Raw genomic sequence first — 25,415 nt, 5'->3', positions numbered from 1 at the left:
TTATTGAAGAAAAAAATTAATCAAGAGGATAAAATAACCTAGAAAATCTTCAGAAATACAAGTAAAATTTGCCAAATCGGTACACATAATTGCTCTTGTTAGCGTGCCATAATTCACCTTTATAAATGGTGTGGTCTATCCATGTATAATAGGAAGCCCACGAGGCTCATGTTTATCAGTGTTCCCAGCTTTCCACTTGGCTGCTGAAGTGAAGTCTGTTTTGTCTTCTTCAGTCTCTTCTCTCCCATCCTTGAGAGAATGTGTAACTTCAGTGGCTCTTGTTGAAGGAAGAGAGGAACAAGAGACCAAGGTCTAAGAAAAGTGTTATGTTTTTTAGGGGTGTGTGTGTGTATGTGTGCATGCATTAGAGAAAGACTTAAGAACAGCTTTGATGTAGAAGGTATTGGGTAGGAAAAGAAATAGAATTTTATTTTATTTATTTATTTATTTATTTTAAGAAGCACTATGTGGCTTAAGTGTCCCTTTCAAAAGACTTGAGAAATACAAGTATTTTGAGATTACTTTTGAGTGTGGCATTGTATTCTTGCAACGGGATGAAACCACATGATTTATAATTCTTCATGCATCATAAATGCAAAATCTGAGCTTTAATACATAAGGAACATTTATTAACAAACTGATGTATGCCGATTAAATATTGAAATTCAGCATGCATTTGTCATATTCAGGATTTCATGTTTATAAAACGCTAGACTAAACACATTCTTTGTCTTGGATCTTTGAATGAAAGAAGAAAGTTTTAAATAAACAAAATACACTTTATTTTACAAACTGAAATTGAAGAAGTGTTTGATAGTGAAATATGTTCAGGAAACACTAATTTATAGTCTCATTCCATTTCTGCAGATATGTTTCCACAAAAGTGGTTAATTGATTAAACAATTTTAGCTTGCTATATTTGAGTGTTTCTAAGTGTTAGCATACTTAACATATTTTTCTTTACAACCTGAAGAAACCATATCCAATTCTTCAGTAGTCCTCCATTTTCAGATATTTTACCACTCATTTCTATAAGACATGTAAGGAAAAAAATGCAATCTTAACCAACTCTTCCATAGAATTTATTGCATGAGACTTGCATATTCTTGATATCGAAACACAAAGAAGCCAGAAAAATAAAGGAAAATTAAGACTCATTTCCAGTCATTAACATAATGCAAAAATCTTAGACCAAATATTGGCAAATTGCATCCAAGAATTTATAAAAGGGATACAGCATCATAACTAAACTGCTATTCTCACCTCCTTTTCTCTGGAATGATAGGTTACTTTAACATTAGAATGTCTGCTAATATAATTCAACACAGTAACCATTTGAAGGAAAAAATATGATATTTTTAAAAGGTGCAGAAACAGTGTTCGATAAAAGTCAACATTTATTCCTGACAATAATTCTAGGGATAGACAAGAATTGCTTAAACTGATTAAAGAGCATCTATGAAAAACCTACAGTAAATGTCATACTTAACATGAAAACATTGAAAATCTTCCCTTTGATATAAAGAACTACACAATAATGCCACTACCACCTTTTCTAGTCAACTTTATACTAGAGGTCTTAAAGCGGTAAGGGAAGAATAAGAAGTAAATGGTATAAAGATGGGAAAGGAAGACTCATTATTCGTTTAGAATATATTTGTGTATGTAAAGAATCTAAAAGAGGCTTGTGTAACAAGTTACCACAAACCTAATGGCTTAAAAACCACACATTTATAATCTCATTGTTTATGGATCACAAGCCAAGGAGAATATAACAGGGTTCTCTGCTCATGACCTGAGTTGACCTGGGTGTTCTCATCTGGAGCTCAGGGGCCTTTTCCAAGTTCATTCATGTTGTTGGCAGAAATCAGTTTCTTGTGGTTGTAGGACTGAGGTCCTCAGCTGTTAGAGGCCATCTCTCTCCATAGCAGTTCACAGGGTTGTTGCTTGCTTTTCAGGGTTAGCAGAAGCTCTTTTTTCAGGAAGAGCCCATTCACTCCTTAAGAGCTCTTAAGTGATTAGGCCAGGCCTGTCCAGAATAAGCCCGTGTTGATTAGCTCAAAGTCAGCTAATTAGAGACCTTAATCACATCTGCAAAATCCTTTCTTCTTTGCCACACAGCTAAACCTATTCATGGAGTGACATCCCATCATACTCACAGGCCCTGCCCACACGCAAAGGGAGTGCCCACCAGAGAGCAGAAATCTTAGGGATCATCTTAGAACTCTTCTGGCCACAAAGCTTCAGACAATTTTTTAAAAATTAGTAAGAGTTTAGCAAGATTGGTGTTTACAAAACTTATATACATATACAAAAACATTTGTATTTTTATGTACCAGAAATACAGTTTGAAAAAAATGATAAAAAGACCATTTAAAATAGAATTAAAAGTTGAATAATTAGTAGTTAATATGACAAATAATTGTATAATCTATATAGAGAAAATATAAAACTTTAATGAAGGACGTTAAGGTGTATTAAAAGGAGTACTCTACCTGAATTTATATAACCAATGTAACCCCAATAAAACTAATAAGCAATTTTTGTTTGTTTGATTTTAGGATTAGCTAAAATGAAATAATTCTAAAATGTATATGAAAAAATAGAAAAGAACACCCAAGGAACTAATAAAGAAGACAGACAAAGGAGTACAATTTTATCTATCAGATATCAAAATGTGCCATGAAATATACTAATTAAAACAGTATTGTGTTAGTACAGGAAAGACAAATAGTTCAACGAAACAAAACAGACAACTCAGAAATTGAATTACATATGTACCAACAGACTACGACAGAGTGGTAGATTACTAGGGAAAGTTACTACAGTTCACTAAGTGTTTCTGGTACAACTGGGGACCCATTTGAGAAAAGATTAAATTAAACTCCTACTTCACAGTATTAAAAAGTTAAAGAGTGAAAAGGCCTGAAAAAATAAAGGCACAATTGGAAAACTTTTAGGGATAATATAGGAAAAGTAGCTTTGTAGCCTTACATTAAGGAAAAAAAAATTATTAAATAGGTCACAAAAGGTACTAACAAAAAGAAAAGTGTAGGTAAATACATTAAAAACTTTAAGAAATTGTATTAATCAAAATGACATCTAGGGACTGGTGATTATTAGAGAGCAGAAAACATTATTGAGGCAAATTTTTCATACACTGAAGTTGTTTTTCTTGTTTCCTTAATGTACAATTTGAGGCACACAATTGGTATAGAATATTATACCAATATTTCATTTCCATTTACTCTTACCTTAAAATTGACACATGCCAGTCTCCCAATATCATGTAATCAGAAAGTATAATAAAAAAAAAAATGAAAGGGGGAAATAATTACAAAACGTAAGCTGTTGTGATTTGAGTCCACTGAAGATTTTACAATAACAGCATGGCTAGTCCTAATCACAATTGCTTTAACCCCAAAAGGAATCATCCAACAAACTGTATTGGTATAAAATGTATATTTCTGATCAGCAGTATGTATGAACTGCTTTTCATATACATATGTCATTTGTTTTTTGTTCTTCTATAAGTAATATTCCATATTTTTCAGCTGGTTTGAATATCTTTTTCTTAATTATTTGTAGAACTTTTTGAATTTCAGTGACACTAAACCTTTGAGTGCTATCTATAGTTCAGATCATTTCACCTGGTTTGACTTTGCTTGATGTTTTTTTAATTGTGTGGCAAATTTCCTAAAGCCCTTTTATAGCTTCTGTGTTTCATATGTTACGTAGGAAGGCTTTGCCCACTAGATGATTATATAATTATTTTCCAAACACTTTTCCAAGAGCAGTTTAAATTTTGTGCTCTTTCATTAGTGGATCTAGAACTTATTTTGGATATAGATTGAGGTAGAGATATACTTTTTTTCTTAATGAAGAGGAAATTGTTCTAACACTATTGTATATTAGTCGAATTTCTCCCACTGGTTTGAAATGTCATGTGTGAACATTATTATGTTCATCAATATTTAGTTCCCATGTTAGACCATCTTTTCTTTCTTTTAGGCGAGGTCTTATGATTAGTTCTGGCCAATGGCCTATGAGCTGGATTGCTAGGTGTTACTTGTGGATAAGAAAGAAAAAGCTTCTTGCCGCCTTTTATATTTCTGTGATCATGGAAAAAGTTTCATGTTGCGACAGCAGAGATACAAGATTTAAGCAATGTGTATTGTGTAGACCCTCCCCAAGTTATAGTTTCCCTACAGAACCTCTTCGTCCCAAAGTCAATTTTGCACAAAAGAGAACTTAGCTTTTTGAGTTAAGCCTCTGAGATTTTAGGGGTTGTTTTTTTACTGCTGCCTAAGTCTATCTTATCCTGACTAATATACCACCTTTAACCTATCTAAATACCCGTAAGCGTATGGTTTTGTTTTTTGAGTCTTCATTCTGAACCATTCATTTATTTGCTTCTTCTCATGTCAATACCTCCCTCTTCAATTGTAACTTTATAGCAGATTTTAATATCTAAGAGGGCCAAGACCTACATCATTATTCGTTTTCAAAATCCTGTTGGCTGGTTTTAAGCATTATTTTTAAGGTAGATCTTTAGAATTCTATAGAAGAGAACTTGGTGAGATTTGCAATGGTATTGCATTAGATTTATAGATTTATAGATTAATTTATGATAATTGTCATATAAGGTCCTGCAGTTTTTTCTATGTCTTTTATATTTCTATTAGTTTTTTGAAACATAAGGGTTTTTTTTTGCTATTGAATGAGATCTTTGTCTACATTACATTTTAAAATTAATTCTAAGCAGTGTACAGGAAAATAATTGACTTGTATGTTTCTCTTGCATGTAACTGCTCTTTTCCTCAGCTCATTTATTAGTTCTGAAAATAATTAGATGATTTTCTTGCACCATGACATTGTCCTGGGGTTGCTTCTTAGAGGCTTATCAAGTCTTCTGGATTTGTCTCTAGGCACAAGCCTGGGTGCAATTCAGTGTATTTTCATCATTCATGGTTTCTTCTACCATCTGTTCTAGGAAATATTACTGTGTCCTATTTAAATTCTCCATTCTACCTCTTGTTCCTGTAAGGCATTTAGCAAATCTGTTTGTGTAATTAAATTTTTGTACTATTATTACTTTATGGACTAATTTTACAGCATTGCTTAACTTATTTAATATTTCCATACTGGTTTTACCATCTTCGTTAGGAAAACCATTGTATAACTATACCCTATTATTACAGAGTTTGTAATCTGAATACCATCTCCTTATCTTTCATTGATTATCCTCTTAATATCAAGTCCTGACCTACTTTTATCAAAGGCATTGTCTATAGCTATGTATTAAAATTTTCTACCATTAGAATATAAGTTTTATCCCTCTTGGTAAATCGTTTTCCTACTCCATTATTCAAGGGTAAAATAGGTGTGTTTACATAATTCTCAACATACACTTTTGAATCTTTTTTTCAATAAGCTTAACAAAAATTCTGTAACATTTAATGAACACTTAAATACCAAGGCATCAATCCATCTACCCGCCCACAGGCTTGAAAATCATTTTCTCCAATACCTTTGCATAAGATGCATCTTACAGGACCTACTCACAGAAGGTAAAAACGGAGAGGCAGTTCTTACTCTGCTCTCTGAAAATATCACCTCCCCTCCAAAATAAAGAACTCTCAGCTGTTCATAAATAAGTATTCAAAGGAAGGCAGTGAGTTAGTCAAAATAGGCTAGACTATGCTTCAGTGACAATTCCAAATTTTCAGAGTGGCTTTTTGATAGTATGGCTGCAATTTATTTTGCTGCTTCTTATTAAAGGATAGTCTAATTCCTCTCCCCTTCAGTCTGGTGTGTCTTCAGTGCCTTGACTAATAGAATGAGGTAGAAACGACACTCTTAGACTTCTAGAGCAATGCAGTTTCCACCTTCTGGGAACTCTTGCTCTAGAGAAATTAAGTATGACAGCCCTCAAACTGCCATGCTGAAGGAAGCCGAAGCCAGCCACATGGAGAGACTGCGTGGATAAGAGCAATGCCTGTGCAGTCCCCAGCTGTTCCAGCCAGCCTACACTAAGTGCCAGATGTGGGTGCAAGGGACTTCAACTAATTCTGGCCTCGGCCTCCAGGGGTCTGCCACCATATAAAAGAGTACAAGCAAATATAGCCCAGCTGAGCTCTTGAACCCCCAAAACCATGAGAGGTGAGTTTTGGGATGGTTGATTAGGCAGAAATAGTTAACCTGAATAATCTCTCATAGTGAAAACGTATTTCTTACCTTTGTAAAGTCCTTTTAAGAATCCTGGGAACCACCCAATGCTGCTATTCTCCACCAGGCAGCTCAGCAATTCAGGCTGCTCTGGTCTTGTAGACTCTTAGATCATGATCTTTTCTCTAAAATTTCCACAGCAGGAGAACAGAACACTGGGACATTTTGTGCCGGTGATTAAATACTTCAGCCTGGAAATGATACATACCCACCCCTTCCATTTGTAGCCCATTGGCCAATTCATATAAATATGACTAACTTCTGAGGGGTGTAGGAGCATCCTCCTCTGTGGGGCAGGGAAAGAGAGGGGGACTAGATAGGATCTACCACACTCTTCTTCCCCTCTCTCCTGCTAATGATGTTACCTCATCAGAGGCCTAGGAATTCCTTTGCCTACTAGGAACCACATATTTTTGTGTAATCATAGCTGCCCTGCAGTGCCACCATCACTCTGGGGGAAAAAGCCTTTTCTCCTAGTACCAGGTACCAATCTTCTTAAACCTGTAAATCCACGTTTTAAACATAAACATGGATCACACACTGACCTAGCATAGCATTACAGCATAACAAATTGCCCCAAATCTTAGTGGCTTGATATTATGTAACAACATTGATTACCTCACAGTTTCCGTGGGTGGAGGTCCCAGCTAAGCTAAGCTTTGCCCCCTGGTTCTGGGTCATTTATAAGGCTCACCCGTCTCAAGAGCACTGGTGACAGATTTGCTTCTAGGTCACTCATGTGGTTGTTTGAAGATCCAGTTCTTTGAGGGCTGTTGGGCTGAGGTCTCAGTTGCTTAGGCTGCAGACCTCCCTTGTCACATGGAGCTCTCCACACAGAGTCGCAGAGTGAGTGTGCAAGAGGAAAAGAAGTTTCCAGCAAAATGGAAGTCTCAGGTTTTTGTAACCTTAACAAAGAAGTGATAATCCATCAGTTTTCCCATCTTCTGTTAGAAGTGGGTCACCAGGCCCAACCCACACTCAAGAGGAAAGGATCACACAAGGGCCTGAATACCAGGAGGGAGAGATCTTGGGAGGAGTGCCAGAAGCTGTCTATCCCAAGTACATCTATGGGATGGGTATTCTGCAATACAGGGGACACAAAGATATATAAGGTAAAGCCCTTGACCTTGAAGAGTTTTTAGTAGTGGTTGGAGGAGTGAGGGTAGAGGGTGATAGCTACATATAAATGCATTATACTATGAAAGGTATGTGGTGAAGTTATTGTATTAGTCCATTTTCACGCTGCTGATAAAGACATACCCGAGACGGGGTAATTTATACAGGAAAAAGTGTTTATTCAACTCACAGTTCCTCATGGCTGGGGAAGCCTCACAATCATGGTGGAAGGCACGGAGGAGTAAGTCATGTCTTACGCGGATGGCAGCAGGCCAAAAGAGAGACAGCTTGTGCAGGGAAATTACCATTTTTAAAACCATCAGATCTCATGAGACTTATTCACTATCACGAGAACAACATGGGAAAGACCCGCCCCCATGATTCAATTATCTCCCATGGGGTCCCTCCCACAACACGTGGGAATTAGGGGAGCTACAAAATGTGATTTGGATGGGGACACAGAGCCAAACCATATCAGTTATACAGAAGAGCAATTGGATCTGAGAAGAGACAGCAGCTCATTCTGCATGAGCTATCAGAGGTACAGTGTGGACTACATGACAGAGACTGAATGATTCACTGGACAACTGGAGAAGAGTGTTCTAATCAGAATGAAGGAGCAAGGAGACACTGAAGTACACAATGTGCTTTGGGAATGGGGAGTAGCTTTGTGTTACTAGGACACAGGGAACTCTGGGAATAGTGGAATGTAAAGTGGGCAAAACTGAAGCTGGGCTGTGAGAGGCATTGTGTATCATGCTAAGTGAAGTTAACTTTAGTATAAGAAAAATAGACATTACAGCGTATTGTTGCCTCCAAATAATAATATTAGTGTTGGCAATATTGTGGCAAAAACCACAATTATGTTTGCACCAACCTAATATGTAAGCTTTTTGAGTTAGAATATGTGCTAGGCATTATTCTTATCTCATATAATCTTCACAGCCACCTTTTGGAGCAGGTTCTATTACTACCCGCATTTTAAGAGAACTTTGGTGTGGACTAGTTTTAGCCCCAAATCACATGGCTAGGAAGTGTCAGGGCTAAGATGCCAATCATGGTCTGACAGCAACAGGTCCCTTACCCTGGTCTGTGACTCCTTACGGCAAGGTCAGTCCCATACTTCCTTGCTACTTTCTTCCTACCATCCTTAGTCTGAAGGCTAAGACTTCAGTTTTTGTTAAAGATAGGAAATGCTTTGGTAATGGCTGTCTTTCATGCTGAAGATGCTCTCTCTCCTTTTAGCTTTTCATTTTGTAAATTTTCCAACATATGCATGAGTAGGTAAAGTAGCAAAATGAACTTAGCTTCAACACTGACTGATGTTGCACCACTTTTCTTTCACCTATCTTCTTTCCATTCCCTACATTTTATTTCTGGAGCATTGTAAAACAAATTCTACACATCATTCTATCATGAAAGTGATAAAATGACAGAATTCCTGTTTATGAGTCACTTCTTTTTACAAGCACAGTAAAATGTTTTCCATTGAGTTTATGGAATTGATATGTATGTACTTAATAACAGTGAGTCTTAGTAGCATTCATTGCAAAGACATTTTCTTAAATTTCAATAGTTTGTAAACCCTTGAGTGTTTTATTTTAATGATAAGGGCTAGGTCCACATAGTTTTTAGCTAATACTAATTAATGCATAATGCAGGCCAGATCTTCTCTTCAGGCAAAATTAACTTCCCTCTCCTATAAGTATTGATTGAAATTTGCTCTCATGTGCCCTGAAGTACTTTTAGTCTTATTGCTGTCTTTGTTTTAAGCCGAGGGCAGAAACCACATCCTTTTCATGGTCTATTAACCACATTACCGAGGTTCATGGTTTGCACAACTAGTAAACACATACAAAGCACCCTTTGAGAAAGCTTCCTCATCCTTTAATTGTAATCCAGTCTTATATATTAACGGTGTGGTGGTCCCAAGGTACAGATTCATCTAATGTGACCTGGAAAGAAATTTGGAAATCACTTAAGGCTACCCTCATTTTAGATCTGACAAAACTGTAGTCAAGAGAAATGTGAGGTCCATTTTACTGCAGGTGGCAATAGTCTTAATTGACTCATTTTATCGGCTAGTACCCATGTTTTTAAGAGTTTCTATGAAATTAACATTTTTTGTAAAAAAAATGCAATTGCATAGGCTAGTTTCATCAATATCCTAAATTAGTGATGCTTCAATATACACATGCAGAGTACTTAAATTTTCCTCTCTCTTCAGCAGGAGATACTCACCACGTCCCTCCATTTTTCATTAAACATACGTGTACCTTGCAGCCCGTTGCTTTTATATTTGCTATCATTGAAGAGGGGATGGATTTTAAAATTACTGGCCATGTTTCCCTTTAGAGAAGCCCACACGCGCCAACCCTGCCCTTATTGGAGCCTGGGCAGCAGCGGTGCATGTTCTAACTTAGGCAACGTTGGGTCATCTGTTTATTGTCAGCTTGGCGGTCAGGAAGAAAGGGCGGTGGTTGCTGAGGTAACCGACACCCCGGGCAACGGCAAGTGGAGGCGGGAGGGGGCGTGGCCTCGACGGGCAAGCGGCGATAAGAGGTGGCGTCCTCCGCGGCATTGCGAGCACCGCCAGTCTGCGCCGCTAGGCGTAGGCGGGGTGGCCCTTGCGTCTCCCGCTTCCTTGAAAAACCCGGCGGGCGAGCGAGGCTGCGGGCCGGCCGCTGCCCTTCCCCACACTCCCCGCCGAGAAGCCTCGCTCGGCGCCCAACATGGCGGGTGGGCGCTGCGGCCCGCAGCTAACGGCGCTCCTGGCCGCCTGGATCGCGGCTGTGGCGGCGACGGCAGGCCCCGAGGAGGCCGCGCTGCCGCCGGAGCAGAGCCGGGTCCAGCCCATGACCGCCTCCAACTGGACGCTGGTGATGGAGGGCGAGTGGATGCTGAAATTGTGAGTGTGCCCGCCCGCCCCGGACGCCGCAGTGTCCTCGCGGGCGTCACCCTCCCAAGCCCGCGCGGCCCGGTGGCGATCCCGCATTGCCGCTTGGGCTCAACCTAAAACCCCGGACCAGGCTTGCCAACAACCTGCGGCGCCGGTGCCGGGCCGCTTGCGATCCTGCACTGCCGCTGGGCTCGACCTGGGGTCCGCGGACCCGCCTTACCAACGACCTGCGGCTGTGGGGCCCGGCCGCTCGCGCCGCGCATGCGCGCCGAGCCCTCGCGGTGACAGCCGAGGGTGCAGCGCGTCCCCTTGCTTTGGGGGACAGTGTTTTCGGGGTGGAGTGGGCAGCTTCCCATAGGGAGGAGAAGGGAAGGAAGAAAATCTGCAAGCAAACCGTGTGCTTTTAGATACAGATATGTATTGGAAGAGAAAGGACATTCAGTGACATCCACGTGCAGTATGAATACGTAGCACAGGCTAAGCAAGTTACCTGTTGAAGAAATTGCAGCACGGTGAAGGCAGGCCATTTGTGTCGTAGTCTTCCGTTTGAAGACCTGGAGATGTCATTGTGAGAATAAAACATAAATATGGATGCCTTTTAAATTTTACAGTATGATTTCAAATAAATGTTGATACTTATTATAACTTGTAAAGGTAGGACTTTCTGAGTAATATTAATAATTGTGCCATAAAGAAAAGAAGATACGCATTGCCCCTTTTAACAATAGAAAGCAAATGGTGGATAGTGCCTTTTCTTTAAGGAGATGGGAAACTACAGTTTTGAGTTAGGAGAAAGAAAGGGATTTGTTGATTATAGTTTAACCTTATAATAGGAAGTGACCATTTGAAAGAGGCTTGCAGTGGATGGTGGGCAGATGTCTGAGCGGGCTTGAGAGACCATCATGGTGGGCTTGCAGACTCTCTCTCTCTCTCTCTCTCTCTCTCTCTCTCTCTCTCTCTCTCTCCCCCTCCCTCCCTCCCTCCCTCCCTCCCTCCCCCTCTCTCTCTCTCTCCTCTCTCTCTTCTCTCTCTCTCTCTCTCCCTCCCTCCCTCCCTCTCTCTCTCTCTCCTCTCTCTCCTCTCTCTCTCTCTCTCTCCCTCCTCTCTCTCTCTCTCTCTCTCTGTCTCTCTCTCCCCTCCCACAACTCCTTTCCACCCTACCTGCCCCCCTCCCGCCCCCACCCCCCAAACATAAAATCTTTCAGGAAATTGCCACATCTCTTTAGCCTGTGGTTTCTGGCAATCTGTATACTACTATTGAATCTTTGTTTTACGTTGAGGACACAGACAGAAAATTGGATCTTTCCTTTATCCAAGACCAAGTTTTGATTCTTTCAATTTAAATTGCAAGCAGGTGCCTATGGAGTGAAAACCTCAGTGTGAGATCAGAGCCAAAATTTATGTCACACAGCAGATTACATTGCTCGAAGAACATAAGGCATATCACCCCTTCAAATGTGCATTTACCTCTTAGTCACAAAGAAGGGGATATTTTAGACCTCCAAATGAAATACCCTTGGTATCATAATAAATCAATGAAATTATTAAAGGGAACTGTAGACATGAATTATTAAAATATTCCACTTAACTATTTTTGGAAGAAGGTGAGGGGGTCATATTCTATTTGAGAAACTTTTAAAATAAGTGGAGCTGTGTTAAGACTTCCATGTTTGTAATAATTTTAAGAGTTTGGGATAAACTGCATTTTGTCAGCCAATACTACAGAAAGTTCTCTTTTCAGTAGGTGCTTACAAAATGGACTTTTTCCTAGATGTCATCTTTCAGGGTAAAACTGAGTTTGCATATGTATGTAAGAAAAGTTAAAACAGAAAGGCCTCCTCATTTTTAATGACTTCAACTCCTCTATGGTTCCTTTTGGAATTGCTTTTTTTTTGGTAATAGAATTAAGAACACTAAAGCCTCAATAAGTTTTTGAGGGAGAGCCAACAACATCTGTGCTTGGCCATGTTGATGGTTCAAATTTTACTTTTTTATGAATGTATAAACCTAAACATAGTAATCAATTGCTCTGAGTTTGTCATGTGTCCAGTTGTATGGAATATGCTTGGCCTGTGATGCCAGATGAGTCTTGTAATCTGGAAGTAAGCTGTGTAGACACAAGGTCATTTTAGTAGACATTCTCTTTTTATCGAGTGCACTTCAGAATAGGTGGCTAGGAAGCAAGGCTGTCAATGAAAATTGATCCAAACCATTCCATCCAACTTCTTTATACGCACTAAAACCCAAGTGCTCATCCTGAAGAAATATTTTGGTTCTTATCTATTTGTGATCTATTTTTTTCTGTATTATCAGGTGATACTCCTCCTCCTTGCTGTGAAAAAAACTCCAGTACTTAAAAAAATATAAAATTCATTATATCCTCCATACCACTAGAGGCCTGCTATGAATTTCTAAGAATTCATTTAAATAGCCTATACGTTACCAGATTTTTTTTTTTATGTATATAACAGAGAAAAACAAAATGCATTAAAATTAGCTTCATCTTGACACTTAGTTCAGATGAGCTGGTCATACATAAATGGAAATTGTTAGTAGTTCAAAGATGTTGTAGTTAACTTCTTTAAAGAAACAGATTGAGAAGCTTTTGTTGTAGTTAACTTCTTTAAAGACACAGATTGAGAAGCTTTCCGATATCAAAATGTATTCATTACTTTGAATGAGAGTTCTTTATTTGTTCATTTGCTTATATGCGCTCTTTCATCTGGGAATTTTTTCTTTTATACGCCACGTCATACAGATCCCCTCTAATGCAGTTTCTGGTTATATTGGTATAGATAATTTATTCTTAAGAATCTAGCAGTATTTGGCAGCCCTGAGACATGAAAAGCTTCTATTATGAAATTAAATTTGGTTATTTTTTCTTAGTCTTTCAAACAGTCAATTTTTTGGATTCTTGCAATTGAATTTCCAGTGTTTTAAAAATGTATGAGTTAAAAGTATATTTGCAGTAATTCACCGTTTCTATTCTGATGATTTTAGAAATCTGAAAAGTTCTCCCATTGCTACATACATTTTCTTTAATGCTATGGGCTTATTGTTGTTATTATTATTTTTTAGATGGAGTCTCACTTTGTCGCCCAGGCTGGAGCGCAGTGGTGCGATTTCAGCTCAGTGTACCCTCTGCCTCCCGGGCTCAAGCAATTCTCCTGCCTCAGCCTCCCAAGTAGCTGGGAATACAGGCACCCGGCTATGGGCTTATTGTATACTCGTTTGCCCTTTTTCTGAATTAGGAAAAATGATCTAATCTTTAAACTACTGTATGATGCATGCTTTTCTCTATTGCCATTGTTTTATACTATTCTTCATTCAGTTCCTTTGCAACCTTTTGCTACTTTCAACATTTGCTTGGCTCTCATTATGTCAGTCCTGGAGAAAATGACTTTTGTTCTTTTGAAACATGGAAGTATGTAATATGATACATTCTGGTGGCTTTTTCCCCCAGAAGAAATAGATAGCCAAGTGGCTTAATTTTGACATTCAAGCTGATACTCAGAAGAAAAGTATGTCTTTGGGTTAGTTTACCTCTGTAAAGCATATAAATCTTTATAAATTATTGCCTTTTCTTATTTTTGTTTTTGGAATGATCATGTTTCAAAATTTAAATTAAACACCTGGTGATGGAGCAAAGCTTTGTTTATTTCCATAGGACATCTAGGTTTTAGTATTATCTTTCCAGCCTTCCTTTATACCTGGAGAGAATGTGTTGAACATCATTACCTTAACTTGCCCATGTCAAGTTAGAATTTCTTGCAGTTTAATAGATTGTCTTGATGTCTTGATGGAATGTTTGAGAGACAACTCACTAAATGCTTGTGTGTCAGGTTCAGTGTTGGGGAGCTGGGAAGGTGAAGAAGAATGAGCCTTCCAAGAGATTGTGCTCTGAAGGAAATATGTAGTATAAGTTATGTTCATTTATTTAGTAAATGTTTAATGAATGCTTCCTCTGTGTTGGACATTCATCAGTGCTTCCCAACAGGACACTATTGGCATTTTGGGTGGACAGTTCTTTGGTGTGTGGGAATGGCCCACGTGTTGCAGAACCTTTGGCATACTTGCCCATTATATTCTAGTAGTAGTCTCAGTCATGCGACATCAAAAAATTGTAACTCCCATTCCCTGTGCATACTTCCAAATGCTTCTAATTGAAAACCACTGCTCTAGATACTGTTATGGGTATTTAAAAACATGCGAATGTTTGATTTTAGATGGTTTCCACAAAGGGTTTAAAGCCTCATTAAAACTTGTCATCCTTACCACTTCCATCCACCTCCTCCACTTCCTCATCATCACAATCACAGTTCATAGTTACATGGCTTACATCACATGTTCCAACTAACTGTTTTATTTGATCATTCCAGCAATCTAGTGCGGTATTATTCCCATTCTTACTGACTAGTGGAGATAAAAAAAAAAAAAAGAAAAAAAGAAGCTGGCTAATGCCAGATCCTTAGTAAGTGGGGAGCAAGGCCATAACTATAATGCAGGCCTGAGCTTTGCAGTTTCTGATCTGCAGTTCCCAGTTCTCCTGGGGAGCCTGGAGGAAGGCACAGGGCCTGGTTGACTCTTGCTTTGGCCCTCAGCTAGCCAGCACCCTGACTCACATGAGGGTAGGCCTTGTTCGTGCTGGATTCTAAGGCCCATCCAAGCTTTTACCATCTCTCTAGTTTCTGCAAGTAAAGAACATTTTTACTGTATACTCATTCCTGACACTGTTCACCACTTAAACAGGTGCCCTGCCTTCCCATCATCGCAATGCCCCAGGAAAATTCTTTCTCACTATGCTTTGGTTGTGTCTTGCATGGTCCTATCACAACCAGTAATTACACATTTATTGATATGCTTTTGTACTAGGTCTTTCTTTGACTACCTCTATTATAAGCTTTTAAGTAAAGGAACAAGGTTATTTTTTTCCTTCCCTGTTTATCTCCAAAGCTTTAATAACTAACAAGTAGTTTGTGTTCAAAAAATACTTTGTGACTAGGTAAATGAGTGAATAATAGATTAATTGCTCTTTTATCAGGCACTTCTTCAAGCATATCACTGAAGGAGACATCTTTATATATTTTCTGAAGTCTTAAGGATAATTACTATCATCTCCCATTTGTTCACTGATGGAATATTTATTGTGGTGGCCTAGGACCTTCCAGGTTCTGTTCTGTGGTGCAAGTCATGCAGCAGTCACTGCTTTCGTGGAGTGTTAATTCTAGTGAAAGTCATGAATTCCACTTTCTCTAGCAGGTGTCATGATTTTCATAGAGCTGCCAGTTTTTATGTTTCCTCTACCTTTTGTGATAACACGTTCTAGAAATTATTGTCCAAAGAAATAAATTTGAGCATAAGGCTTTCAATTCATGGGTCATTCCACATTTGCCAAAAGGAAGAATAACACTTGATGTAGTTAAGGCATCTTTTGTTGACACTTTGATTTAGTTTCCTTTATTAAGTCATAGAAAGATGAACCTAGTATACCTCTTTCCTCTTCATTGTTGCTGAGTATTCTGAGCATTTTGATCAAAGTTCTACTAAGTGAAAATTGACTGGATCTGTTATTGACTGTCTCATTTCTGCAAAGATAAGAAAAAGTCAGGAGAAAAGAGAGTGTACTGAGAAACACTGGTGAAATTAGAGTCAAGACAGAAGAAGAGTTGTTCATTATTGGTAAATAAAAATTTATCGTTAATAAAATTTCCTTTCTAGGAAATAAATATAAGTAAGTCCTTCTCTGAAATATTTAGCACACCTAATGAAATCTTAAACCAAATTCAGTAAGTTCATGGAATAAAAGATTCAAGGTCCTTCAACCTCGTTCCATCAACAAAACACGGACAACATGGACAACAAAAACATTCTGTTGAACAAAAAACGTGGACAACAAAAACATGCTGTTGAATTTTGTTTCCCAGAAATGGTTAAAAACATTGCACTGACATGTAAGTTGGTGTAATTTACCAGAGCTTTTTGGCTATCTGGAATATATTTCAAATATGTTTATGAAGTTTACTAATTTTACATACCACTGTGACCTGCAAACAAGTCAACAAAAGTTCAGTAGAAAAGATAACAATTTACAGTTTAAATGACTATAATGGAGCTAATTGCTCTTGGAGGCTCTTAAGGATTATGTGTAAGAGACAAAGTTATGGCAGGTCATATCTTTTATAGTTCTTAGGAGAAGATTGCCAGTGTGAACTAGTTTGAAATAAATTTAATGAAGATCATGTTCAATTATTTCTGATGTGTTTAATTTATGCATATATACATAAATTATATATATATGTATCTATGTGTACACAGAGTGAGAGAGGAGCATGAAGGTCACATGACTGATCCTTGCATTCATTTTGTCCCTGGAGATATTTTACTTAGTTTCTAAATTCTTATACAAATTACTGTTCTTTAGATACAAAAGAATATTAAAAACTTTAAAAACTGCAGCAACAATGGACCAGTTCCCATGCTAAAGACTCAGAGCTGGCTTATCTCTACCACTGAAAGAACATCTGGGTGCATTCCAACACAAATCAGCTGTGATTAAATCTGTGAAATAATGGCATTAACAATGCCACAGACCAGTGTATAGCAGCTATGTAGAAATGGCATATCTAAAATTACCTCAGTGGCATATCCGAGGATGCATTATAATTGTATATCTGAAGGTCAGTTTCACCAAAAACCAACTTAGTAATAGCCTATCTAGAGATTAAGTCCTGTATTTTTTAAATTATGAAACATAATTACTGATGCAGCAAATGTGCCTGTGATTTATATGCAAAGAGCGTCCTAGGGAAATAAAGAGGATCTGAAGTTCATTATATTATATTATACTTCAAGATAACTTCCTTATTCTTGTTACTTTCTTATAACTTCTTTCTCCCTCTGAATGTTGAAGTTTTATATTCCTTGACGATTTTTATCAAAGAAATACCTCCATCTGTGTTCTTGCTCTGAGTGGTCTTAAGCACATCTCTATACCTGCTTTGTCTGTTTGGCAGTGAGGCTGTAAGGTCAGATGAGCTAATGCATCGTAAAAGTGTCTTGAACCCCAAGCAGTATTACAAATGAAATTTGTATTAATGGTTGCTCCTATTAAATAAATATGTGCCTGCTTCGTATTTCATCTGATCTCTCAGTAACCTAAGGTAGCTACTGTTATTATCCCATTTTACAGTTGAGGAAACTGAGGCATGGAGAGATTATTAACCTGCCCAGAATATCATGATTAATTCCTGGTTGATCTTTCTGATTGTTATAGCAGAACTCTTATCCAACATCATGGAACGCTTGTTGAAATGTACTTGATAATTCAGAATTCCTTTTTTTCCTAAAGTTTGCCAACTGCCTGAGTCTCATCTGTTAACTTGGATATTTAGAAACTACATAGAAAATAACTTATTTTCTCAGATGAAGAATATGATTTTCATTAAAGTTGATACACTTGTTTATTCAGCAAACATTTATTGAACACCTACTGTATATCAAGAATGTACTTTGCCTTGGAAATACAGAGACACGAAGGTTTAAAAAAATCTACATTCAAAGATGTCAGCAGATTATTTTGTTGTTCCTGTCTTCTGGATCTCAGGATTTGGACAGTGAGCTGTAATGGAAAGATTAATGATGTTTTAGCATGATCTTGGAATTAGCTATATAGTAGTCTTTTCTAGAGATGGTGAACAACTGTGCTTGCTAAGTCTTGCTGCTTCTGGGGCCTGTCTGGAGAAAGTAATGAATGCTTTGGCTTTGGGTAGTCCATTCTCTTCTGGGTTCTGCCTAATTTTCAGTACTTTTTGTGAAATAAATGCATTCCTTCCCCTAGTCTTCGCTTTTTAACCCCTGACTCATCTTTTATAATGCGAAAGATCAAAATCTTGCCCAATTTCAGTTTTTGTTTTTTGTTTTGTTATTCAGCAAAGTTGGTTTATATGTGTCATTGCATTGATTTTTTTTTTTAATGATACTTACCAGCATGCTTTTGCACAGTTCAGAATTTTGAAGGGATTTGTAAATGATGACCTGACAGGCAACTTTGAGCCTAAATCTTGTTACAGGATTTGATCAGTTTTGTACTTTTCCCCTTACTTTGTTTCCCTTCCTAAGGCATTTTGTGTGTGTGAGTGTTATATTCTATTGGCAGGCATTCTTTTCTACTTCTCTTTCTCTCCCCTGGCCCCTTTCCTCCCTTAATACAGAAATAATAGGTGCCACATTTTGTAAAAACAATTCAGGAATGGAACAAATGAAAAATAAATTGGAGGGAATTGGCATTTTAAAAATGCTCAGCCTGCTTACCCACAAGTTGGTATATTTCTCTATTTATTCAAGACTTTATTATGAAAAATTTTAAACAGACGCAAAAATAAGAATAATATGATGTTTGCCCCCCATGCTTATCTCTGTTCATTTCTGGATTGTACCGTCCACAAGGAGAGGAGGCACCAAATCTCCTTCACAATTGTAGCCTCAGCTTCTGCCATAATGCTTTCTTAGTATTTATTGAATGAAAAATAACTGTAAAAAGTAGGGTTCTGACTTGAAAGCCAAGGTATTTTTAAATTCTGCTAAATTTAAGAAAGTGTTGGGTAGAGCGGGTTTAGCCTATAGCTTCTACTTTCCTTTTCAGAATGTTCAGAATTACCACAGATCTTGGAAACATTCTTGAGGATGCTCAAACAACAGATTTGGTCTCTGCCCATCAGATCTGTAGCTTTGATGGATTTGAAACTGGTTTGGCTAGTTTAGGGTCACCCTGTGAAAATTGTTCTCCTTTAGTGGGGCACTAAAAAGAGCTCTTACCCTCAAAGATCAAAAGCTATCTGGAGAGAAACATAATTGTATGAATAGCATTGAAATAAAATGTTTATGGATAATAATAATTATTGGAAATATTCTCAAACTTTGGCCAAATTTTTTCCTATAGAATTGACATTCATACATTAAATCCTAGTGGGGACAATGTGCTTCTGTTTTTCTATGTCAAATGACTTTGGAAAAGCCTCCTTTTATAATTTCCCTTTTTTAATAATTTATTTTTTAATTTAAATACTCGATTTCTCTGTTTTGCAGATTTCTTCTGTATATTTATCAATATAATTCTTATTCTTCTCTTATAGTTACGCCCCATGGTGTCCATCCTGCCAGCAGACTGATTCAGAATGGGAGGCTTTTGCAAAGAATGGTGAAATACTTCAGATCAGTGTGGGGAAGGTAGATGTCATTCAAGAACCAGGTACTGTGAATGTTGCACATAAAATGCAAAAGTTTACCGACTTTTTATTTTGAATTTTTTTCAAGCATATAGAAAAGTTGAGAGTCTGGGATATTGATTACCCATGAACTGGCCACCTTTAAGTAGCAGATTACATTTTTTGCATACTTGGATCTGTCTTTACGTGTATGTGTTTGCACATACATATTTGCATATATATTTCTATTTTTTCTATTTTTATTTTGCTGAATCATTTGAAAGTAAGTTATCGACATCATGATAATTTACCCTTCAATTCTTTAGCACGTTAAAGGCTTCTTAATTATTTCCCATGTGTCTTTTTTTTTTTTTTTTTTTTTACAGTTTTTTGACTGAGGATCCAATCATGGTTCATAAATTACATTTGGTTGTTAAGTCTTTTTAGTCTCTTGCAATCAACAATTATCCCTCATTTTTTAAAATGACATTGATATTCTGAAAAGAAAAAGCTACAGTTTTCCTAGGTGTTTCCTTATGGTGACATGGAACTTATAGGAATATTAACTTATACGAGTATTTTCTGCAAACTGAGAGTTTAGGTGCATGATTTAGCTTAGACATTTATGGCAAGAGTACTTCTAAGATGATGCTGTGACTTCATATTACATCTCATTAGAAGGGATATGCTATCACCATTAGTAATGCTAATTTTGAGCACTTGGATATGGTGGTGACACTAAGTATCTCAATTATGAAGAAAGGATCTCACATTGTGATTAGCAAGTAACCTCTGGGATGATTTTTTGGGGTTTTAAGATCCATGATGCTCTTGCCTGAATCAGATATTATATTTCACTGTGGTTCCAGAGAGTGAATTTCTAGTTCTGTCATTCTGTCTACACTGATTAGCTGTGAATGATATAAGTTTTCACAAGAATGAATCATTTTTACCCCAAAGAGTGGAGTGATACAGAGACTTTTAAATTCTGAAAAGATATATACAATAAATTTGTGTTTGTAGTTTTAAAACAACTGTATATTATATATAAACTGAGAAGAAAAGATGGCCTTTTATAATCTAAATCTCTAAAATGTGGCTATTTTCAAATTTTAACAGTCATCTTTTTCATTGACATTCAATTTATACCTACTGCATCCTTTCATCCTTTTACAAGGGCAAAAAGAAGATGGGTATAGAAGTGTAGACATTCATTTTCTATAATAAACTGTGAGTTCAAAAAACACTTAAATAATGAAGTACCAGTTACTTGGATAACAGAATAGATGGTACATGTTAAAATTGATGTGTCAGCAAACCCGTGGAGCGAGATTTCTATTAAAAGCCATGAATCCTCATTCCTCTATCTTTGTAAGCATTGTCCTCCATCTAGAGATGGACAATAAAAGCTATTAGTTCATGGTTTTGGCTGTTATAATAAGTTAATTCTGTTTGGAGGCTAAATCATTGCAGATGCATTTTTGCCAGAAACTTGTTTTCATCTTTAGAGTTTAAGTAAACTAAATTCAGGCATAAGACTTGTTAATTACTGGGCACCATGCACATTTTATGATGGGTTTCTTAAAAATGCAGCTGGTCAATTTGCATTTCAGTAATTTGGCACACCTGCTCAGAATTTATAGCATAATTTGAATTAAAAGAATTAAACAGCCTTGTGATGGGTTCACAAATCTTATGTTTAATTAAATATAGTCTTTCCTTCTAAAAATGTAGACTTACAGTTATTTTTAACATTATGAATTGATTAGGTTTTCTTGATAATGAAATAAGAGAGAAATTGATTTTAAGAAATATTTTTAATACATTCAATGTTGACTTGGTTTTATGTATATCTGAAATATATATACTTGAAATATTAAAAGAAGAAGGAAAAACTTCTGGTATTCTGTAGGAATATTGAAAAAACAAAGTCTAATAAAAGATTATTATTTTATGTGTTTGAACAATTTTTTATAGGCAGAGGCTCTAGAATTATTTTAAATGATAAAAATTTTAAAAGTGCAACTCATAAATAAAAATTAGGAGATAAACTTCTACATGCATGATTATTTGAGAGACATAGAAAATATTTCATTTCATATTATACTGTTTTAAATTTATAATTTTACTTTGAATTACAAATTTAATGCTTTCAGTTAATCTTTTAATAGCGATTAGAAGTAACGTGTTTATTCAACAAGTATTTGAGTTTCTACCATAAACAGGCCCTGTTCTAGATACCAGTGATACAAAGGTGAATAAGGAGGACAGAGGCCTTGCTCCTCATGGAGCTGCATTCTAGTGGAGGAGATAAATAGTAACAAAAGAAAATTGGCAAATAATGTCAGATGGTGGTAAGGGATATGAAGAAAACGTAGGATAAAAATGTACAAAATGATTGGAGCTACCTCTTAAGTTAGGATGGCCAGGGAAGGACCAGAGATAAATAGGTTTCAATTTATCAAGACCTGTTTAGCCAGAGGTCTTGATAAATTGAGGAAGTAAATTTCAAAAACCTTTGTGGGAGGAGCATTCCAGGCAGAGCAAACACCATGTGCAGGTAGGAGTGTACTTGGCTTATTTGGAGAACAATAGGACCACCAGTGGAGTACTTGAGATAAATGGGGATGGAGAAGTAGCTAGGGACCACACCCTGTGAGGTCTTGTTGGCCATGACAAGGAGTTTAGATTTTCTACAAAGTATGATAGGGAGCTACTGGAAGATTGGAGCAGGAGAGAGATATGATATGATTTATATTTTAAAATAATTCCTTTGGCAGCTATGTGAAAAAATTGACTACAGGGGATCAGAAGAAAGCAGGGAGAATGGTTAGGAGGTAAATCAGTAGTCCAGAGTTGAGAAGATGGTGGCTTGGACTAGTAACAGCAGTGTTAAGTGGTGGGATTCTTGAGATACTAGGATTTTCTGATGGATTGGTTGCCAGATGGGGTGGAAAAGGAGAAAATGGAGAAGACTGAGGAGAAGTAGGTTTGGGACAGGGGCTAAGTTTGGGATGTTAAATAGATATCCAAATAGAGATGAACTAGAGATGTAAGTTTGAGGACCATCAATATACTTGGCATTGGAGCTAGAAGAAAAATTCAGATTATCTATGATCTGTATGTGCCAGAGTCGTGAGAACAGGCCACTGCAACATTTAGAAAAAAAGAAGTTGCAGCCAGGTGCAGTGGCTCACGCCTGTAATCCCAGCACTCTGGGAGGCCGAGGCGAGCGGATCAACTTAGGTCAGGAGTTCAAGACCAGCCTGGCCAATGTGGTGAAACCTTTTCTCTACTAAAAATACAAAAAATTAGCTGGGTGTGGTGGCAGGTGCCTATAATTCCAGCTACTTGGGAGGCTGAGGCAGGAGAATGGAGAATCGCTTGAACCCGGGAGGCAGAGGTTGCAGTGAGCCGAGATAGCGCTATTGCACTCCAGGCTGGGCAACAAGAACATAACTTTGTCTCAAAAAAAAAAAAAAAGAAGAAGAAGTTCCATCATAGGAGAAGGAACTTCTCCTATGAGAAGTTAGTGAGATAGAGAGGGAGAAGTAGGAGGGTCTGGTAGCCAAGTGTAGAAAGATTGTCTTAATGTGATACTAACTCACTGGCAAGCCTCCAGGGCAGTTTGCCTCTATCTTGGAAGCAGTTTATTTATTTACTTTTTACAAACACTAACGTCTTGAATGAATAGTAAAAACTCATTGAAATGATATTATTTTTCCCCACAGTTGAGCACTTTACTGTGTATTTCTGTATACAAATTTCTATTTGGTTGCAGATCTTCGTTAGTGTATTCTTGCCTTGCCACAGAAGTGCTAGTAAGGAATAATTTCAATTCTTTCCCTGTAAGTAAAATTTAAAGAGGGGAAACAATAATTTTGAAGTGTCATGCATACTCTTTAGTTATTCTTATAACTCTTCCATCAGTAGATCTATTAAGATATTCTTTTAAGTATTTTAAGCAAGGTAAGATTTCAGATTTATCAATGAAACGAGAAAAGTTCCCTTCTTCCCTCACAGGGTGTGCGTTGGGGGTGTGGCTTGCTTCTTTGTGCCCGCTGCTCAAACCTCTAGGGGGACATGCAGACGGGCAGGCTGTGGGGCTCCGATCCCACGGCAGCATAAAGGGGTGAATGTTTACAGCTGAAGCCCCAGTGGGCGTGTGTTACCGTGTGCTCTTTCAGTTTAGCCATCCATAGGTGGCTTGTGTTCGTCAGCTCAATTAGACACCCCCCTGCCTTATCACAGGGACAGAGGGCTTCTTGCCTTGGTGTACCAGAAGAATCGGATCACATGTGGGCTTGGAGAATGAGTGCAAGGTTTTATTGAGTGGAAGTAGCTCTCAGCGAGGTGGATGGGGAGGCCAGAACGGGGATGGAGTGGGAAGGTGGTGGTTTTCCCCTGGAGTTGGGCCACCCAGCGGCTGGGCTGTCCTCCAACTACCCTGGCCAAACTTTCCGTTGTTCTGCGGGTCGACTTGCCAGTGTCTGCTGGTGTGTTCTTCTGCTGGTGTGCTCCTCTCAATGTCCTCTCGATGTCCAGCCGCTGTGTGTTCTTCTGCCGATGTCTTCCTCTTGACTCCCAGCTGCTTGTTTGTGTGCCTGCTAGAGACTCAGGGTTTATATATGCACAGGATGGGAGCATGGCAGGCCAGGGTGGTCTTGGGAAATGCAACATTTGGGCACAAAAACAGAAATGCCTGTCCTCGCCTAGGTCCATGGGCACAGCCCCGAGGGTGGAGCCCTCTCCAGGGGCCCATCTTTCCCCTCCCAGCACTTCCCTGCCCATCTCCAATGTCATCAAAACTAGAGACTATAATCATGTTGCATTTTTATGGCTGAGATGTAGAAGCCGAGGAAAGGGCAGCCCTTAGATTAGGTTACATTACATTGCCTGTTTAATACTGCGTAGATCAGGTGATGTGTCAGTTGAGTTGACTTTGGGAAATTAAATTTAATGAGTATATACTTGAACCTTCTGTTCCATGCAGATGAGCTTAGTTGTCAAGGTCAGGAAAACAGCAGCTGCTCATCACCCTTGAGTGATGGCTATTTCACTAGATTAGAGGTAAGCCAGTCTCCTGCCACAGCCAAGTGTAAGCATTGTCTTTAAAACTACTGATTAATGCAGAAGCCAATTTAGTTTACTGTACTTTAGTGTTATATTTTAAATTTTATAAATGTAAATTTTATCTTGTTTTCTATTATGTTGACAACCTTATTTCAATCTCAAAAGTAAGGTTAATTCTCCTTTTTTTCATTGTGTTTTCCTTCTGCTACCCTCTTTGTTGATAATAACAACATTTAGTAAGCATTTACTTCAGCCTGTGATTGTGCTATACACTTACATGCATTTTAGCTTCATAACAACCCTGTGAAGAACAAACTGTTTATCTCTGTCTTACTCAGAAAACTGAGGCTAGGATAGGTTTAGTAACATGACAAAGATAACATGCTAATAAATAGTACAACAATGGCTAATAGATAGCTATTAGCTATCTCTGTTTTCTTAATACTGAACCTAAATAATTTCTGTTGTGTTTTGGCTTATCAAAATGTAATTCTCTTCCATAATTTTTTTCTTTCTCTAAGCTTTTAATTTTTCTTTCTTTTGCTGCATGTGTTTAAGATAAGGTTTCTGATACAGTGTTAAAATCTGTCCTGCATTCTCTGTTTGTGCCTACTTTATGTTGTGTCACAGTCTTCATTTTAAAGTGGAAGTTACCCTTAAAGTAAAAAAGGCATGTAGAAATTTTGGAAGGCTTTGTGGCCTAACTTTATCCTTTTTACTGAAAAGCTTAGGAGTATACTTGTTTCTTCCAAGCTTACTGAAGTTATTGCACTGAACTATTATCCTGAGACAAGCTGCTATTATGATGTTCAAATTCTTTGTCAAGATCCACATTTAACTTAATGTTATTAAACCCTGAAGCCACAACCTCAGATGGTGCTTCTGTATTCCAAGTG

At 37.8% G+C, this 25,415-nt stretch overlaps 1 protein-coding gene and 1 long non-coding RNA gene across 2 annotated transcripts in view, besides 2 other annotated features; one reads left to right on the top strand and one right to left on the bottom strand.

The window, feature by feature from the left end:
* Positions 1-1,060: 1,060 nt before the first annotated feature.
* Positions 1,061-9,784, bottom strand: TMX4-AS1 (TMX4 antisense RNA 1). The gene is made up of 7 exons (NR_184034.1): positions 9,586-9,784; positions 8,429-9,299; positions 7,535-7,631; positions 7,241-7,309; positions 6,923-7,133; positions 6,238-6,419; positions 1,061-2,029 (listed from the first exon to the last, which is right to left on the bottom strand). It is a non-coding gene; the product is annotated as a TMX4 antisense RNA 1 (long non-coding RNA).
* Positions 9,929-10,168: a silencer, noted in NCBI's record as "silent region_12667". NCBI's record gives its function as "represses an Ori minimal core promoter by ATAC-STARR-seq in GM12878 lymphoblastoid cells {active_cell/tissue: GM12878}" and the evidence as "EXISTENCE:reporter gene assay evidence [ECO:0000049][PMID:35858748]".
* The window catches only part of TMX4 (thioredoxin related transmembrane protein 4), a 42,416-nt gene continuing 26,929 nt past the window's right edge, over positions 9,929-25,415 (top strand). Inside the window, exons 1-2 of the mRNA NM_021156.4 lie at positions 9,929-10,252; positions 19,375-19,490. Coding sequence (NP_066979.2) covers positions 10,077-10,252; positions 19,375-19,490 — 292 coding nt within the window. The 5' untranslated portion in view covers positions 9,929-10,076. The remainder of the gene's footprint in view (positions 10,253-19,374; positions 19,491-25,415) is intronic.
* Positions 10,279-10,418: a silencer, noted in NCBI's record as "silent region_12666". NCBI's record gives its function as "represses an Ori minimal core promoter by ATAC-STARR-seq in GM12878 lymphoblastoid cells {active_cell/tissue: GM12878}" and the evidence as "EXISTENCE:reporter gene assay evidence [ECO:0000049][PMID:35858748]".

The sequence above is a fragment of the Homo sapiens genome, chromosome 20 (genome assembly GCF_000001405.40).
Source record: "Homo sapiens chromosome 20, GRCh38.p14 Primary Assembly".
Lineage (NCBI taxonomy): Eukaryota > Metazoa > Chordata > Mammalia > Primates > Hominidae > Homo > Homo sapiens.
Note: the sequence above shows the minus strand (reverse complement) of the source record. Positions and strands in the feature narration are given on the sequence as shown.